This window comes from Homo sapiens, chromosome 2, assembly GCF_000001405.40.
Source record: "Homo sapiens chromosome 2, GRCh38.p14 Primary Assembly".
Taxonomy (NCBI): Eukaryota; Metazoa; Chordata; class Mammalia; order Primates; family Hominidae; genus Homo; species Homo sapiens.
This window is the reverse complement of record NC_000002.12, coordinates 55,590,966-55,608,528: the sequence shown is the minus strand read 5'-3', so window position 1 is coordinate 55,608,528 and position 17,563 is coordinate 55,590,966. Positions and strand designations below refer to the sequence as shown.

General features: G+C 39.2%; 1 protein-coding gene across 19 annotated transcripts in view; it reads left to right on the top strand.

Annotated features, from left to right (window-relative positions):
• Positions 1–17,563, top strand: part of PPP4R3B (protein phosphatase 4 regulatory subunit 3B) — a 70,331-nt gene that overhangs the window by 9,094 nt on the left and 43,674 nt on the right. For 9 of the 19 annotated variants that reach the window (XM_005264446.4, NM_020463.4, XM_017004531.3 and 6 more), the window contains exons 3-4: positions 4,453–4,551; positions 9,490–10,113. In XM_005264446.4, coding sequence (XP_005264503.1) covers positions 4,453–4,551; positions 9,490–10,113 — 723 coding nt within the window. Of the gene's footprint in view, positions 1–4,452; positions 4,552–9,489; positions 10,114–16,954; positions 17,025–17,563 lie in introns of those variants that run through there. The other 10 variants (XM_017004536.3, XM_017004535.3, XM_017004534.3 and 7 more) reach the window with 3 other exon arrangements.

Sequence of the window (17,563 nt, the reverse complement as noted above, 5' to 3'; positions counted from 1 at the left end):
GAGATGGACAGAGATGGATGGATTTTGTGATCTTTATTGAAGGTAGAATTGACAGGGCATGTGATGGATCAGTTATTGGTAATCAGGAAGAAGAAAGATCAGTAACCGTTGACTGTTTCCCAGGGTCAGTCCTCAGCATTGGAAAAGAACTCTAAATATAAACCCCATTTAGTTTCTGGTATTTTGACAAGATCAGAGAAAAGAATTTAAAGTTAAGAATGAGGGGCTGGGTGCAGTGGCTCCCACCTGTAATCCCAGCACTTTGGGAGCCCAAGGCTGGCAGATCACCTGAGGTCGGGGGTTCAAGACCAGCCTGGCCAACATGGTGAAACCCTGTCTCTACTAAAAATACAAAAATTAATCCGGTGTGGTGGCACACGCCTGTAATCCCAGCTACTCAGGAGGCTGAGGCAGGAGAATCACTTGAACCCAGAGGTGGAGGTTGCAGTGAGCCAAGATTGCACCACTGCATTCCAACCTGGGCAACAGAGTGAGACTCTGTATCAAAAAAAAGAAGAGCAAAAGAAAGTGATGATGAAAAGGTGCTCAGTTACCTTAATTCAGATTTCGTTGTTTACCTGGACCTTCTCTTTCAATGTTTACCTGGACCAAACATTGATTGTAGCCAAAATGGAAAAGGCATTGGATGGCTGGATAAAGGGTTTTGGATTTCATTCTGTTAGTAATATCCATTGACCTGACTGTAGATAGTACTATCTATAGATCTAGTCACCAGAAGGACCAAGGCATGGTTAGAAGATTGCGGCTTTGAACCCCATCCGCCATCCTCCAGAAGGGGAGAGGGGCTGAGGGTTTATTAATCACCAGTCGCCAGTGATTTACTTAATTATACCTGTTTAATGAAGCCTCCATAAAAGCCCATTAGGACTGGGTTTGGAGAGCTCCCAGATAACTAAGTGGAAGTTCCTGGAGGATGATGTGCCCAGGGAGGTAATGCAACCTTTGAGCCTCTTACCCCATACCTTGCTCTGTACCTCTCTTCATTTGTATCCTTTAAAATATCCTTTATATTATAATAAACTGGTAGATATAACTGTTTCCCTGCATTTTGTGAGCTACTTTAGCAAATTAATCAAATCCAAGGAGGGAGTCATGGGAAGCCTGATTTATAGCCGTTTGGTTGGAAACAGGTAAAACAACGCAGGCTTGCAATTGGCATTAGAAGTAGGGGGCAGTCTTGTAGGGCTGAGCCCTCAACTGTGGTATCTGACAGTGTCTCCGGGTAAACAGTGTCGAAGGTGAATTGGAGAACACCCACCTGGTGTCTAATATGGAACTGATTGATTATTGGTGGGGAGAAATCCTCACACTTCTTGGTGATGAAGGTGACAGCAGTGATTTGTGTTGTGATAGTGTAGTATGAGAAACTGTTTTTTTATTTCTATAGTCTCATACCCAACTTTTGTGAATTATTGTAGCCTATATGTGGAGATAACTGCAAATATTTTGTAACTTAAACTATCCTAACTCAAACAAAATGGATAGGTGCCTTAAAAGGGGTTGATGATGATATAAGTACAAATGAACTAGATAATGGTTAAATTTACATTTACTGCTAGTGTAAACTGTCAACCATGGGACAAAGCAGAAACAATGATGTAATAGATCTGACAAGAAGTTACCCCTCTCAAAAAGTTCGGTTATTAAAAAGATAATTTTTTTTACTTTTTTTTTTTTTTTTTTTTGAGGCAAAGTCTCACTTTTGTCCCCCAGGCTGGAGTGCAATGATGCAATCTCGCTCACTGAAATCTCCACCTCCCGGGTTCAAGCGATTCTCCTGCCTCAGCCTCCCGAGTAGTTGGGATTACAGGTGGCTGCTACCACACCCGGCTAATTCTGGTATTTTTAGTAGAGATGGGGTTTCAACCATGTTGGCCATACTGGTCTCAAACTCCTCACCTCAGGTGATCCGCCCGCCTCGGCCTCCCAAAGTGCTGGGATTACAGGTGTGAGCCACTGTGCCTGGCCAATAATTTTTTTTTTAATTAAATATAGAAGTCTCACTGCATTGCCCAGGCTGGTCTCAAACTCCTGGCCTCAAGTGATCCACTTGCCTTAGCCTCCCAAAATGCTAAGATTACAGACTTGAGCCATTGCATTCTACCAAAGGATAATTTTAAATATGGATTTATATCCACTGTTATGTTTGGGTATACTATGCCTTAAGTGTATATTGGGTCTTAATACTAACTAATGATACGGAGCCATTACAGTTCAAACATTTAAAAATTTTGCTTATGTTATCTTCCTTTAAGACTTTTCTATTTTAGCATGTGTTTTATAATGTATTAATATACTAATATATTTTTGTATATAATAAGCGAATTAAACTGCAGTCAAAAATGTTTTGGAGATCACTGTTTGTGAAGCTATTTTGAGGAAGGCTCTAAGATGACTTGGGAATGTAGGGAGCCTGAGTGGGTACCCTGGTGTTTTAACCAGCACTGACCAGAGTAGCTCTATTTATTTCTTTTTTTTATATATGGAGGTTCTTACTGAATTTTTGTTTGTAGAAGGGTTTCTGGTTTTTTTAAAAAAAGGTTTGAAAACTTTTGTGGATGATGAGAGAAACTGAAGGATTTCTTTTTTTTTTTTTTTTTTTTGAGACGGAGTCTCGCACTGTTGCCAGGCTGGAGTGCAATGGCTTGATCTCGGCTCACTGCAGCCTCTGCCTCCCCGGTTCAAGCGATTCTTTTGCCTCAGCCTACTGAGTAGCTGGGACTATAGGCACGCGCCACCACGCCCAGCTAATTTTTGTATTTTTAGTAGAGACGGGGTTTCACCATGTTGGCCAGGATGGTCTTCATCTCTTGACCTTGTGATCTGCCTACCTTGGCCTCCCAAAGTGTTGGGATTACAGGTGTGAGCCTTCGCACCTGGCCAGAACTGAAGGATTTTAGACAAAGGAGTGACTTGAGAGAATTTTAGACTAACTCTGGTAGCAAATTTCTCCCAAAAAGCATAGCCAGGAAGAAGGTAGAACACAGATTTCTAGCTATTTTTACCTGATTACACAGAAAATAAGAAGTATTAATCTGAGGCCTGGATTAATTAAATAATATTTTTCATTTACTGTTTAAAGCCAAAAAGTACTGAAATGTTCCCATTTTCAACACTTTGTCTTGGATCTGGGGATGATTTTTAGTTTTGTATTCATGTCAGGTCATGATATTTATAAGTACTACTTAAATGAACAAGTTATTACATATAAGGTGTTTTGTAGATTATATTTTTGGTAGCGTATAAACTTAGTTTGTATTTTTTTGAAAATCAAAGTTTTAGCCACGTTAAACTTTCATTATTATATATCCTTAAAAGATTGTTCATTTTAGTATTGCATAGTGTTTTTAGTGTTTAAAAATGTGTGTGTAGGCTGGGTGCAGTGGCTCACACCTGTAATCCCAGCACTTTGGGAGGTCGAGGCAGGCGGATCGCTTGAGCCCAGGAGTTGGAGTTCCAGACCAACCTGGGCAAAATGGTGAAACCCTGTCTCTACGAAAAATTAGTGTGGCGTGGTGTGTGCACCTGTAGTCCCAGCTACTTGGGAGGCTGAGGTGGGAGGATTGCTGGGGCCTAGGAGGTCGAGGCTGCAGTGAGTCGTGATTGTACCCCTACACTCTAGTCTGGTCACAGAGCAAGACCCTGTCTCAAGGAGGAAACAACAAAATATATATATGTATATTTGTGTGTATGTGTGTGTGTGTGTGTGTGTCTATGTTTTATTTTAAATCCAAACCTTGGTTTCTAATACAAGGGGTGACAACCTTTTCCTAAAAATGTAACTAACCCTTTGGTAGGCATATAATTGAAGACATTCTAGGAGACTGCTTACCTAAACCTTGGGCTAATTTTTCTACACCCTAAGCTAAGGTACTGAACTGGGTGCTGTTGGTAGCACTTGTAAATAAGAGCAAATAGCTTTGTTTCACCATGGTGTTACATTTCTTAAGATCCTGAAGTCTTTTCCAGATATATAAAAAAAAAAGGCAAAAATAGAGTTAAGCCTTAACCTATTTTCAGGTATTAGCTTATTTTAACCAGCTCAAAGGGAAGGATAAATACATAGGTGGTTAGTGAATGGGACAGCTGATTTTCTGGAAGCAACAGAAAGTAGATGGTTGGAATGTCTTTGTTATAGTTTTGGCCAAGAATGGCTAGCCTTTTTATAAATATTATTTGAGTAACATGAGTCAGAGCCTACTAGCCTGTTTTAATATTTTTTGTTTTAAAAAATTGCTCAGTCATTTTTAGTATCAAAGCTACTATTGTATTGCCAATATATTACTAATAATGCCAATCAGATATACATTGATTACTCATATCGGGGCATTTGTCATTGCTGTGTTGTTTCCAGTCCTCTTGATTTCTATTTGTACTTTGTAGATACCTCTTTTCTAGTGTGATGATATGGAAATATTTATTTTTAAACAGGATACATTAATTGTTTGGTCAGAAGCAGAGAACTATGATTTGGCTCTGAGTTTTCAGGAGAAAGCTGGCTGTGATGAGATCTGGGAAAAAATTTGTCAGGTAAGTTTCTTTTTATAATATTTAACTTAATGTTTGCTTCTTTTCTGGAATTTTTGTTTCCTTTTTACTTCAAACATATTAGGATGTGGCGAGATAGTGTCTTAATGTGAGACTTGATAATCTAACTTGAAATTTTTTATATTCTACGGCAAATTATTTTACTTTAAGTTTTTTAAAAACAACTTTGTCATACTTTTGTTTTACCACTTTAGATTTTGATAGCATATGCTCATAATTAATACCTTATATTGTAAAATGGCAAGTACTTTAAGCAAACCAAAAGAAGATTAAGTAATTAAATCAAGCTTTTAGATTAAAAACATAAATATTTGGTCATATGTTTGCCTAATGTTTATGCATACTGTACCAGGCACTAATGCTCAACAGTATTCATGACTTCAGTTTATGTGGAACTTAGAGTGTAGCAGGATATATAGAATATGTGGTAACTCTTAAGTAACTAGAATTTTTTTAAAAGAAACCTTTTGTTTTAGGACAGTTTTAGATTTACAGAAAATATAACTATAATGCAGAAGACAAACATCTCCTCTTATTTAGAACTAGGATATTGATTTACATATCTGCTAGAACATAAATTTATATGGTGGATAATTTATTCTAGTGATTACTGTATTAGATTATACCTTGTCCCATCCTACTACCCCACCCCTATATGTCAACACCTACTTTTTAATACATGTTCTTGGATATAAGTGTATTTGTCCATCCGGACGCGGTTACTCACGCCTGTAATCCTAGCGCTTTGGGAGGCCGAGGCAGGCGGATCACCTGACATCAGGAGTTCGAGACCACCCTGGCTAACATGGTGGAACCTCATCTCTACTCAAAGTACAAAAATTAGCTGGGCGTGGTAGCGCATGCCTGTAGTCCCAGCCACTAGGGTGGCTGAGGCAGGAGAATAGCTGGAACCTCTGAGGGAGGTTTCAGTGAGCCAAGATAATGCCACTACACTCCAGTCTGGGTGACAGAGTAAGACTGTCTCAAAAAAAAAAAAAAGAGTATTCGTCCTAGAAATTTTTGTGGAAATTTGTTTATTACTGTTTTCACTTAGGTAGTTCAGGAGGTCTCCAAGAGCACTCTCAATTTCCATAATTCACTGGAAAGACTCACAGAATTCAGCAAAGCTGTTATACTCACAGTTACAGTTTATTATAGCAAAATGATACAGATTCCAATAACCAGTGGGAAAAGGTGCATAGGGCAGGGTCTAGGAGAGTTTCAGGCTTGAGCTTCCAGTTCTCTCTCCTGGTGGAATCACGCAGACAGCACTTACTTCTCCCAGCAGTGATATATGGCAGCATACATTCAGTATTGCCAACTAGTTAAGTTTACCCAAACCTTCGTGTCCAGGGTTTTCACTGGAGATTAGAGTTTATGTAAGCATGGCTGACCGCCTGTGTGGCTGACCTTATTCCAGCACCTCCAGAGGTCAAGAATATCTTGTGGTCCAAGGCCCCCACCACATAGCACATTGTTAGCATAGTATGTCTGGCATAGGTGAAGTCCCCCAGGTAAACATTATTATGAAGCAGGATATTCTGAGTGCTTAGAGTTTACCTCTCTGGGGCTAGATAAGGGCCAAACTTTTCCTTTGGCAAGGTCAGTCCTTTACTGCACAGGCCACTCCTTGACCAAGACTCTCTTACACCAAAATGATCATATTTGTGTGAGCATCTACATTTAGCGTAGGATTTATATCACAGACAGAGAAATAATATCAGTATGAATATACCTAGTATTTGGGGCCAGTGTGGAGTAGAGCTAGGTTTAAAGAAACAACTAACTTTTCCTATAAAACCATGTCATACCTTTTGTATTTTTGTACTGCTTTGATTTCTTATTTCTCTCCTTGATCTGCAGATTGTACCTTATCATAAACTTGTACAGAACTGTGTACCATAGAAACTGATAGTCAGCAAAATCCAGCTTTTTGTCAGTCCAGTGATTTTTTTTCTTCTTAGGTTCCAGACCATGATTCTGTAGGGCCAGTGACTTTCATTTTTCTTAGTTTAGTTTAGTTTAATTATTCAAATAACTGCAGCATGGGCCAGTGGTTTTTCTATCAGCATTACATCCTCAGGAAGCTTTAACTCAGTCTCCCAATACATTTGATCATCAATATCAGTATTATAAGATTTATATAGATAAGATAGCTGGATCAACAATACTAGTGTTATACCATATCACATTATGGTAGTAGATGTAACCTGAAAAGTAAGAGTTGGTAGATTCTAGCACATTACTAGAATCCCACGTAGTCATTAACAGTTGGTCTGGGTCTGGGCGCAGTGGCTCATGCCTGTAATCCCAGCACTTTGGGAGGCCGAGGCAGGAGGATCACAAGGTCAGGAAATCAAGACCATCCTGGCTAACACAGTGAAACCCCGTCTCTACTAAAAATACAAAAAATTAGCCGGGCATGGTGGTGGGCACCTGTAGTCCCAGCTACTTGGGAGGCTGAGGCAGGAGAATGGGATGAACCTGGGAGGCGGAGCTTGCAGTGAGCCGAGATCGCGCCATTGCACTCCAGCCTGGGCTACAGAGCGAGACTCTGTCTCAAAAAAAAAAAAAAGAAAAAGACAGTTGGTCTGGTTCATCATCATATTGTATGACAAAACGTCTCCCAGAGCAGTGTCACTCTTCAAAGCTTACAGGCTCCCATTTGACCTTGTCAGGTTTTAAGAGGAGGGGTGGTCTTGGCAAACCTATTGCTTAACCCTTCCAGGCATCTGTTATAACTGAGCTAAGAGACAATGTCATCCCTTGCCTTCAGCCTTTCTTGAGGCATCACTGCTTTTTTTTTTTTTTTTTTTTTGAGACATGGTCTGGCTCTCCCCAGGCTAGAATGCAGTGGTGTGATCTAAGCTCACTGCAACCTCTGCCTCCCAGGCTGAAGGGATTCTCACTTCAGCCTCCCTAATAGCTGGGACTACAGGCGTGCGCCACCATGCCTGGCTAATTTTTGTATTTTTTGTAGTGACAAGGTTGCACAGGCTGGTCTTGAACTCCTGAGCTCGTGATCTGCCTGCCTCAGCGTCCCAAAGTGCTGGGATTACAGGCATGAGCCACAGCGCCCAGCTTAGGCACCAATGTTAATACTGAATTTTCCTTGTTACATTACTCATTTTTTCATGTTTTTTTCCCTCTTTTACTGTTTCTCCTTTCCATTTGTCATTGTTTTTTTAAATTTTATTTTTTTCTTTGTCATTGATTTTTATTCAGACTTTTCCACCTTTGGAAGGGATATTAGATAGCACTCTGATAGCCCAGCAAAGTTAACTCTTTACTGTACAACGCAGCACTCTACTTCTTAAAATCTGTGCATGTTGCTGAATATGTATTTAGTTTTTTGCTCCTAACTACTGCATGATATTTCACAAAATCATATCTCATGTTTTACTTTTTCAGTTCTGGGAAGTCATTACTGATCTTTGAAAGGACAATTTCAATTTCAGTAAGCGCCATATTACTTAATTATTTCTTAACCACCCCTGCCCGCCTTTTTTTTTTTTTTTTTTTTTTTTTTTTTTGAGACAGAGTTTCACTCTCGTTGCCCAGGCAAGAGTGCAGTGGTGTGATCTCGGCTCACTGCAACCTCCGCCTCCCAGGTTCAAGCAGTTCTGCTGCCTCAGCCTCTCGAGTAGCTGGGACTACAGGCATGCGCCACCACGCCCAGCTAATTTTGTGCTTTTAGTAGAGACAGGGTTTCTCCATGTTGGTCAGGCTGGTCTTGAACTCCTGACCTCAGGTGATCCGCCCAACTTGGCCTCCCAAAGTGCTGGCATTACAGGCGTGAGCCGCCACCCCTTATAATGAGAAAATAGAACAAAAAAGCTTCCCTGAAAAAGTTTGATGGTTCAGATAGTTCAGAGTGTCTTAAGGGGATTGGAGAATGATGAAATAGAAGGAACCATTGGAGAGAAATAAATTATAAAAACAAGAGCAAAGATAATTTTTATATGTTTAGCTTTGAGAAAGCATAAGTTTAGAAGTACATATGGAAATGTTAACCTTAGGAAATGGTATAGACATTTCCTTTGAAATGAATGAAGGAAATGTGTGAAGGTAAGTTGTGAGATGGAGAAATGTTAGAGGAAGTTGAGTACTGATGGGCTTTTTATTCAAAGGAAGCCTCTTATCTTCTGAGACTTAAAGGTGAAGGTAATGTTTGAGAAGTTGGAAAGTGAAAAAATATTTAAAGCAGCAGCTGTAAGGGATGACGATAGGATTATAGACTAGAGAATTTTTATTGAAAAACCCTATTGATAGTGTGGATTTATTGTGAATCCATACAGCAGAGTTCATTGGCTGTCTCTGAGACGTTATGATCAGATTGTGTTGTAGTAATACAATCCTAAAATTTCAATGGCTTGTCACAACAAAAGTTGATTTCTCCTTAATGCTGTTTGACCAATAGGGGAAGGGGCCCTACTCATGAGAGTCATTCAGGGACCAAGCTGGAAGAGAATTCATTTTATTTTATTTATTTATTTTATTTTAATTTTTTATTTTATTTTTTGAGACAGAGTCTTGCTTTGTCTTCCAGGCTGGAGTGCAGTGGTGCGATCTCAGCTCACTGCAACCTCCACCTTCCAGGTTCAAGCGATTCTCCTGCCTCAGCCACCTGAGTAGCTGAGATTACAGGCGTATGCCACCACACCTGGCTGATTTTTGTATTTTTAGTGGAGTTGGGGTTTCACCATGTTGCCCAGGCTGGTTTTGAACTCCTGACCTCAAGAGACCTGCCTGCCTCAGCCACCTAAAGTGCTGGGATTACAGGCGTGAGCCACCGTGCCTGGCCTAGACTTCACTTTTAATTAGTAGTGACTAGCCAGGCATTTCCAAATGATTTGATTTCCAAAATTTTGAATTATTTTGTATTTTAAGGTAATTAGCTGTATACTTGGATATTTTTAGGTTCAAGGTAAAGACCCATCAGTGGAAGTCACACAGGACCTCATTGATGAATCTGAAGAAGAACGATTTGAAGAAATGCCTGAAACTAGTCATCTGATTGACCTGCCCACATGTGAACTCAATAAACTTGAAGAGATTGCTGACTTAGTTACCTCAGTGCTCTCCTCACCTATCCGTAGGGAAAAGCTGGCTCTCGCCTTGGAAAATGAAGGCTATATTAAAAAACTATTGCAGCTGTTCCAAGCTTGCGAGAACCTAGAAAACACTGAAGGCTTACACCATTTGTATGAAATTATTAGAGGAATCTTATTCCTAAATAAGGCAACTCTTTTTGAGGTAATGTTTTCTGATGAGTGTATCATGGATGTCGTGGGATGCCTTGAATATGACCCTGCTTTGGCTCAGCCAAAAAGACATAGAGAATTCTTGACCAAAACTGCAAAGTTCAAGGAAGTTATACCAATAACAGACTCTGAACTAAGGCAAAAAATACATCAGACTTACAGGGTACAGTACATTCAGGACATCATTTTGCCCACACCATCTGTTTTTGAAGAGAATTTTCTTTCTACTCTTACGTCTTTTATTTTCTTCAACAAAGTTGAGATAGTCAGCATGTTGCAGGTAAGTAAAAAGATACTCTTCACGATTCCATTTTTCAGATATTTAGTTCCCTTAATAGTTCAAGCAGGTGTTTATACCCTCTATTTTTTGAAAGATTTATTTTGTTTAAATGTACTATTAAGTACATTTAAAGTAAACAAAAGAAATTGGGACTTTATGTCTTGTGGTTTTAGTGCAACCTTTTATTTATTTTTTTGAGTCGGAGTCTCGTTCTGTCGCCCAGGCTGGAATGCAGTGGCGCAATCTCAGCTCACTGCAACCTACGCTTCCCGGGTTCAAGCAATTCTTCTTCCTCAGCCTCCCGATTAGCTGAGACTACAGGTGTGCACTGCCATGCCCAGCTGATTTTTTTGTATTTTTAGTAGGGAAGGGGTTTCACTGTGTTGCCCAGACTGGTGTTGAACTCCTGAGCTCAGGCAGTCCGCCCGCCTCAGCCTCCCAAAGTGCTGGGATTATAGGCGTGAGCCACCGCGCCCAGCCCAGCCTTTTATATTTTTAAGTAGCCTGTGTTTTAGCTTTTTATACAATTTAGTATTTGTGTTTCTAAAATTGAGGTAGAATATACATAACATAAAATTCACCGTTTTGACTATTTATTTATTTATTTATTTTTTGAGATGGAGTTTTGCTCTTGTTGCCCAAGCTGGAGTGCAATGGCATGATCTCAGCTCGCCGCAACCTCTGCCTCCTGGGTTCAAGTGATTCTCCTGTCTCAGCCTCCTGAGTAGCTGGGATTACAGGCATGTGCCTCCACGCCGAGCTAGTTTTGTTTGTTTGTTTGTTTGTTTGTTTTTGAGACGGAGTCTTGCTCGGTCGCCCAGGCTGAAGTGCAGTGGCGCAATCTTGGCTCACTGCAAGCTCCGCCTCCCGGGTTCACGCCATTCTCCTGCCTCAGCCTCCCGGGTAGCTGGGACTACAGGCGCCCGCCATCACGCCCAGCTAATTTTTTGTGTTTTTAGTAGAGACAAGGTTTCACCATTTTAGCCAGGATGGTCTCGATCTCCTGACCTTGTGATCCACCCACCTCAGCCTCCCAAAGTGCTGGGATTACAGGCGTGAGCCACCCCGCCCAGCCCAATTTTTTGTATTTTTAGTAGAGGGGGGTTTCTCCATGTTGGTCAGGCTGGTCTCGAACTCCCAACCTGAGGTGATCCACCTGCCCCGGCCTCCCAAAGTGCTTGGATTACAGGCATGAGTCACTGTGCCCGGCCAGTTTCAACAATTTTTAAGTGTACAATTCATTGGCATTAAGTATATTTGCAGTGTTATGCAGCAGTTACCACTATCCATTTCCAGAACTTTTTCATCATCCCAAACAGAAACTCTGAACCCATTGAACAGTAACTCCCCATATTCCCTCCTTCCAGCTCTTAGTAACCACTATTCTACTCTTTATGAATTTGCCTATTATATATATCGATGATGCAGCTATTTTTTATTATTATTATTTTGAGACGGAGTTTCACTCTTGTTGCCCAAGCTGGAGTGCAATGGTGTGATTTCGGCTCATTGCAACCTCCACCTTCTGGGTTCAAGCGATTCTCCTGCCTCAGCCTCCCCAGTAGCTGGGATTACAGGCACACGCCACCACACTCGACTAATTTTTTGTATTTTTAGTAGAAACAGGGTTTCACCATGTTGGCCAGGCTGGTCTCAAACTCCTGACCTCAGGTGATCCGCCCGCCTTGGCCTCCCAAAGTGCTGGGATTACAGGCGTGAGCCACTGCACCTGGCCAATGCAGCTATATTTAACCCTTTTCCTGTCTGTCCTGTGAATACTCGCCAGTAGTGCTTGGCTGCAGTGTTTACCTTGAGATAACTTTGCCACAAAATACCTAGCTTTTATTATTATTTTTGCATTGCTGTGGCATATTGACTTTGGAAACAGAAGACATCATTCTATTTATAGCATTCTGGTTTTAATAGTGATATTTTCATTTACAAACTATAGTAATTGTTAATCACTGAAAATGTCAAATCGTAGAAAACATAGCAGTCCTGCACATGGTATTGTCATTCTCGAACAGTTGTTGCCCGAGGATTCGTTTGTTGAATCTGATTTTTTTTTTCGAAATAGACGAATCTGATGATTCAAACAATTCTGATGTTAGTTCTATTTAGAAATAACTCCAAGAACAGTTTTTATATTTTATTTTCACCTTGAAAGTCAGATTTGCTTCGGCCTCAAAGAGCGTGTTTATGTAAAATTAAATGAGTCCTTGCAGCAAGCTGTACTTTTTTTTTCTCAATGGGTAAAGGGTTAAAAGTATGTTTTCTTCCATTTTGAGAGATACTGTTATTATTGGGGTGTATACGAGTATGTGGCTATTTGCTATATGAAGGTGATTTTATTCTGTCTCCTTGAGTTGTGAAATAGGAGTTTTATACTATATTTATCATGTTAATCCTTTACACCCTAACAGTATAGTAAGCATGCTTTTTAAGTACTTGTCTTACTTGTAACAGTAGCCTATACTCAGCTTTCTGCATAACTGCTTTTGTTATTTCCATATCATTCACTAAGTTTATTGAGCAGCTACTATATACTTAGTATTGTGGATCTCAGAGTGTGGTTTGTGGACCTCTGGAAGTCCCTGAGCCCCTCTTACAGGCATTTATGAGGTTTTCCTTTTTCTAGTTTGATGTCAGTGTGAGGCTGTGTTTTTTTTTTTTTTTTCATGTACTTTTGCTTAAAGAACATATTGCAACACACTGAATGCCAGAAAAGATAAATGAGTATCTGGTTGTCATTTGTTAAGCCAGGTATTGAGATTTGCAAAAATGTAAAAGGGGCTACTCTTTTTTATAAAAGTTTAAATTTTGGATCATATAGCTGTTTCTCTTAAAAAATATTTACATAAACATAAAATGACTTATTTTAAAATGAATTCATAAATATTTTCACGAGTCTTGGTTTTAATTGTAATTTTTAAAAATTTATTTTATTTTTTATATAGAGACAGGATCTCACTGTGTTGCCCAGGCTGGTCTCAAACTCCTGGCCTCAAGTGATGCTCCTCACCCTCCCAAAGTGCTGAGATTATAGATATGAGCCACTGTACCCAGCCTCTGCATAATTCTTAAGAGTTTAGGCTGGGTGTGGTGGCTCATGCCTGTAATCCCAGCACTTTGGGAGGCCAAGGCCAGGAGGATCACTTGTGGTCAGGAGTTTGAGACCAGCCTGACCAACATGGCGAAACTCCATCTCTACTAAAAATACAAAAATTAGCCAGGCACAGTGGCACGTGCCTGTAATCCCAGCTACTCAGGAAGCTGAAGTGGGAGAATTGCTTGAACCGAGAGGCGGAGGTTGCAGTGAGCTGAGATTGTGCCACTGTACTCCAGCCAGGGTGACAGAGCGAGACTGTCTGAAAAAAAAAAAAAAAAAAGTTTAAAAGGGTCCTGATACAAATAATTGAGATTCTATCTCTGACTTAGTGCCTAGCTAATCGACTTCATTTTGCGACGTTTCCCACCAGTAGTCACCTATTATTGTTTACTTTAATTTTTTGCATAGGATTTACTTTTCTTTCAGGTCATTTATTCACCTACCAATTTTTTGTTATTCACCAATAATGAGTGTGGGGGAGGTTAGATGTACATATCAGGTTCTTTTTATAATATATAGGACCTGTGTATTTTTAAACTGTAGTATACAATTCAGGGTGCTATTTCACTTGTTGACAGAAAAACATTTAATAATCTTAGGAGATTGGACAGAGTCACAGTCTGTAGTTGATAAAAAGAGGACCAGGAACAGAAGCTCATATGTAGCTTTCAAATGACTGTTTTTGTCTTCAGAAGGGTTTCCAAATTCATACTAGTAAATCGTAAATACTTTTTTATATTCAGAAAATAAATTATATGAACTATAAATATTTGTAAAACTTTGTCATTTTATGTATTTTATAATAGGTTTATTTGTGAAGGCTATAATTACGTAAATCAAGTGCAGCTTTTTATTTTTCTAAAAGATTTACTCATTTCTGCTTCATGAGATGCATTTCATGAAATAGCCAGATTCTGTGAACTGTCTGTTATTTACATAACATTTACTACTTAATTATCTCTTATGTGCCAGCAATGATGTTGAATTTTTTTTTTTTTTTTTTTATTTTAGATTCAGAGGGCACATAGGCTTATTTGTTACATGGGTATTGCATGAGTAATGGTGGAGATTGGGCTTCTAGTGTACCCATCACCGTGATATTGAACACAGTGCCCAGTAGATAATTTTTAAACCTTCAGTCCTCTCCCATCCTACCCCTTTTTGGAGTTCCCAGTGTCTGTTATTTCCATCTTAATGTCCTTGTGTACCCACTTGTAAGTGAGAACATGCGATATATGATTTTCTGCCTCTGAGTTCACTTAGGATAATGGCCTCCAGCTCCATTCATGTTGCTACAAAAGACATGATTTCATTATTTTTTAACATTTCATTTGTATTCCACAGTGTATATATACACCCCATTTTCTTTGTCTGATCATCTGTTGGTAGACACTTAGGTGGGTTCCATGACTTTGCTATCATGAATAGTGCTGCGATCAATATACAAGTGCAGGTGTCTTTTTAATATAATGCTTTTTTTTCCTTTGGGTATGAATTGTGTTTTCAACTATGTGTGAAAAGGAAAGAAATAAGATTGTGGCCAGTGGTCTCTATTTTATTTTATTTTTTGTAGAGGTGGGGTTTTGCTATGTTGCCTAAACTGTTCTTACCTGGCCTCAAGCAATCCTAGTGCCCAGCCTTCCAAAGTGTTGGGATTACAGATGTGAACCACCACACCTGGCCCTACAGTGGCCTCTAAGCACTTATTTCCTAAAGTCTCACTCTGAGATTTCCATGTAGAAATTTTTGGTTAGGTAGTAGGTGTTTCTAGATACCTATCTGGGTATCTAGTACACTTACCTGTGGTTTCTTAAATGCGCATTAACTTGCTGCTGTGTGAGTTGTAGAAGGCAAGTGAATATGTAAGAATTTTATGTAACTGGGCCGAAGTGAGGTAGTACGAAGGTCCTTATCATAAATCCTAGCTTAAATTAGGTTAATTAACTGAGAAATTATATGAGAGTACTTAGCATAGTCAGTGGCTCCTAGTATGTGTGCTAATACATGTTGACAATATCTTAAGCATGATAGGGACATAAGACTTTAGTGACTCCAAATGTTCTAGCTAATTGCAGATCAAAATCCCCTGTGCCCAGAATTGAGCAACATTCTTTTAAAATATTTTAGAAATTATTTATTTATTTATTTTGAGACAGAGTCTCGCTCTGTCACCCAGGCTGGAGTGCAGTGGCGCCATCTTGGCTCACTGCAGCCTCTGCCTCCCAGGTTAAAGTGATTCTCAAGCCTCAGCCTCCTGGGAGCTGGGATTACAGGCAGCAGCCACCATGCCTGGCTAATTTTTGTATTTTTAGTATAGACAGTTTCACCATGTTGGCCAGGCTGGTCTTGAACTCCCAACCTCAGGTGATCCACCCGCCTCAGCCTACCAAAGTGCTGGGATTACAGGCATGAGCCACTGCCCCCAGCCAGAAATTAAATTTTTGAAAGCAAGTAAAATGAGATTATTTCTGCACAAACAGTTATAGAATAAGATCCTTTTCAGAACAAAGTTTTAATTTCTCTCCTTACTAGAAATGATGGAGGATAGGAATCTCAAATGTTGACATTTTAACACATTTACATATATTATATTATATACATATTTCTGCTATTCCATAGGTAAGAGTTAAGCTTAAAATTAGCCCAGCAGGATTAGCGGTTTAGTTCTCTTTTTAACATATTTTGCAGATGCTAAGGTTTTGGCACGGAAAGAGAAAAATTTCTAACTTCCCATCCCAGTTACAGATTAAGTATGTAAAATCTTCAGATACTCTTTAAAAAACTGTTTAGAGTAATAGGGCTTTTCATTTTGTTTTTAGGATTTTTCTTTGGATTCAAGTACAGGATTTAATATATTAAATTTTATCTTACTAGATTTGGCCCATTCCAGCTTTGTGTATCTTTTGCTTTGGTTTGATTCATACGTTTGAAGTTTGAAATACTTGGAAACCTGTCTTGTGGTTTACTTAGTAGGAGTGACAAAAACCTCATTAATTATTTGGGAGGCCTGGATTCTAAATCCATCTGTCACTAGCTACCCTCAGAAAGGTTCACTTTTTGAACCTCAGTCTCTTGAAATTTAAAATTGGACTTGACAGTCTCTGTAATGTTGCAAAATCTGATTTAATTCTAAATTTCTGTGTTTATATGTTTCTAAAAATGAATGGGTTCTGTTTTTTCTTTTGTTTGGCCTGTATTTATATTACTGCAAAGAGAAGAGTTTGATTTAGACTGTTTAGAAGCAACCTCTTTTTTTCCCCACAGTGTTTTTTTATGTTGTCCAGAAAAGCAGCCACACAAGTTTTGACTTAAATATATAGGTTTTATTAAAACAAAAGCTGTTAAAACCAAATAGAAAAGAAAAACTAAAAGAGATTAGTTTGATTACTTGGAGAACCAGAGATTTTGGAGTAAGTATTTCAACTATATGATAGGCTTTAAGTTATTGATTATTTGCTTCCTTCATAAATATATTGGAACAGAGTGCTTTTATAGCTTAATGAATAATAGCCAGAGTAATGCTGGAAATCAGGGAAAAAATACTAGGAATACATATTCTCTTAATGGACTGTAATAATTGAGATTGCCTCTATCTGTAATATTTTATGCAGTTCTACTTATCAGCTCACAAGTACCGAATCATATAAGAAGAATTCAAGTGGGAAATTGCATTTATCAAGGAGTTGGAACTTTTTTCTTATGAAAATATTTTGAAAAAATTAAATTTTCAGGTAGTAAAGGATGAAGATGTAATCTACAACAGATGCAGGAAAATAGAAATTTATAAAAGGTGTGAATGGAGGTAAATATGTACTTACTCACCCTAACCTAAAATATTAAGACTAAAAGTATTTGGAAAAAGTAGGCTGGGCATGGTGGCTCATGCCTGTAGTCCTAGCACTTTGGGAGGCTGAGGTGGGAGGATTGCTTGAGGCCAGGAGTTCGATACCAGCCTGGGCAACAAAGTGAAACCCCCCCATCTGTACAAAAAATTAAAAAAAAAATAGCCAGGTATGGTGGCACGTGCCCGCAGTCTCTGTTACATGGGAGTCTGAGGGAGGAAGATTGCTTGAGTCCAGGAGGTCGAGGCTACACTGAGCCACGTTTGTACCACTGCACTCCAGCCTGGGCAACAGAGTGAGACTCTAGAAAAAAAAAAAAAGGAAAAACTAACTTGAGGGCTAAATAAAAGATTACATATGCATATAAACTCCCTCAAAAGATGGATGTTCAGGCTGCAGTGCATAAGGTCCAAAAGGAGTCAATGAAATACGAAAAGAAACACCTGAGTCAGACTAATTAAATGACTCAGACACATTCTGAGTCAGACTAATTAAGTGA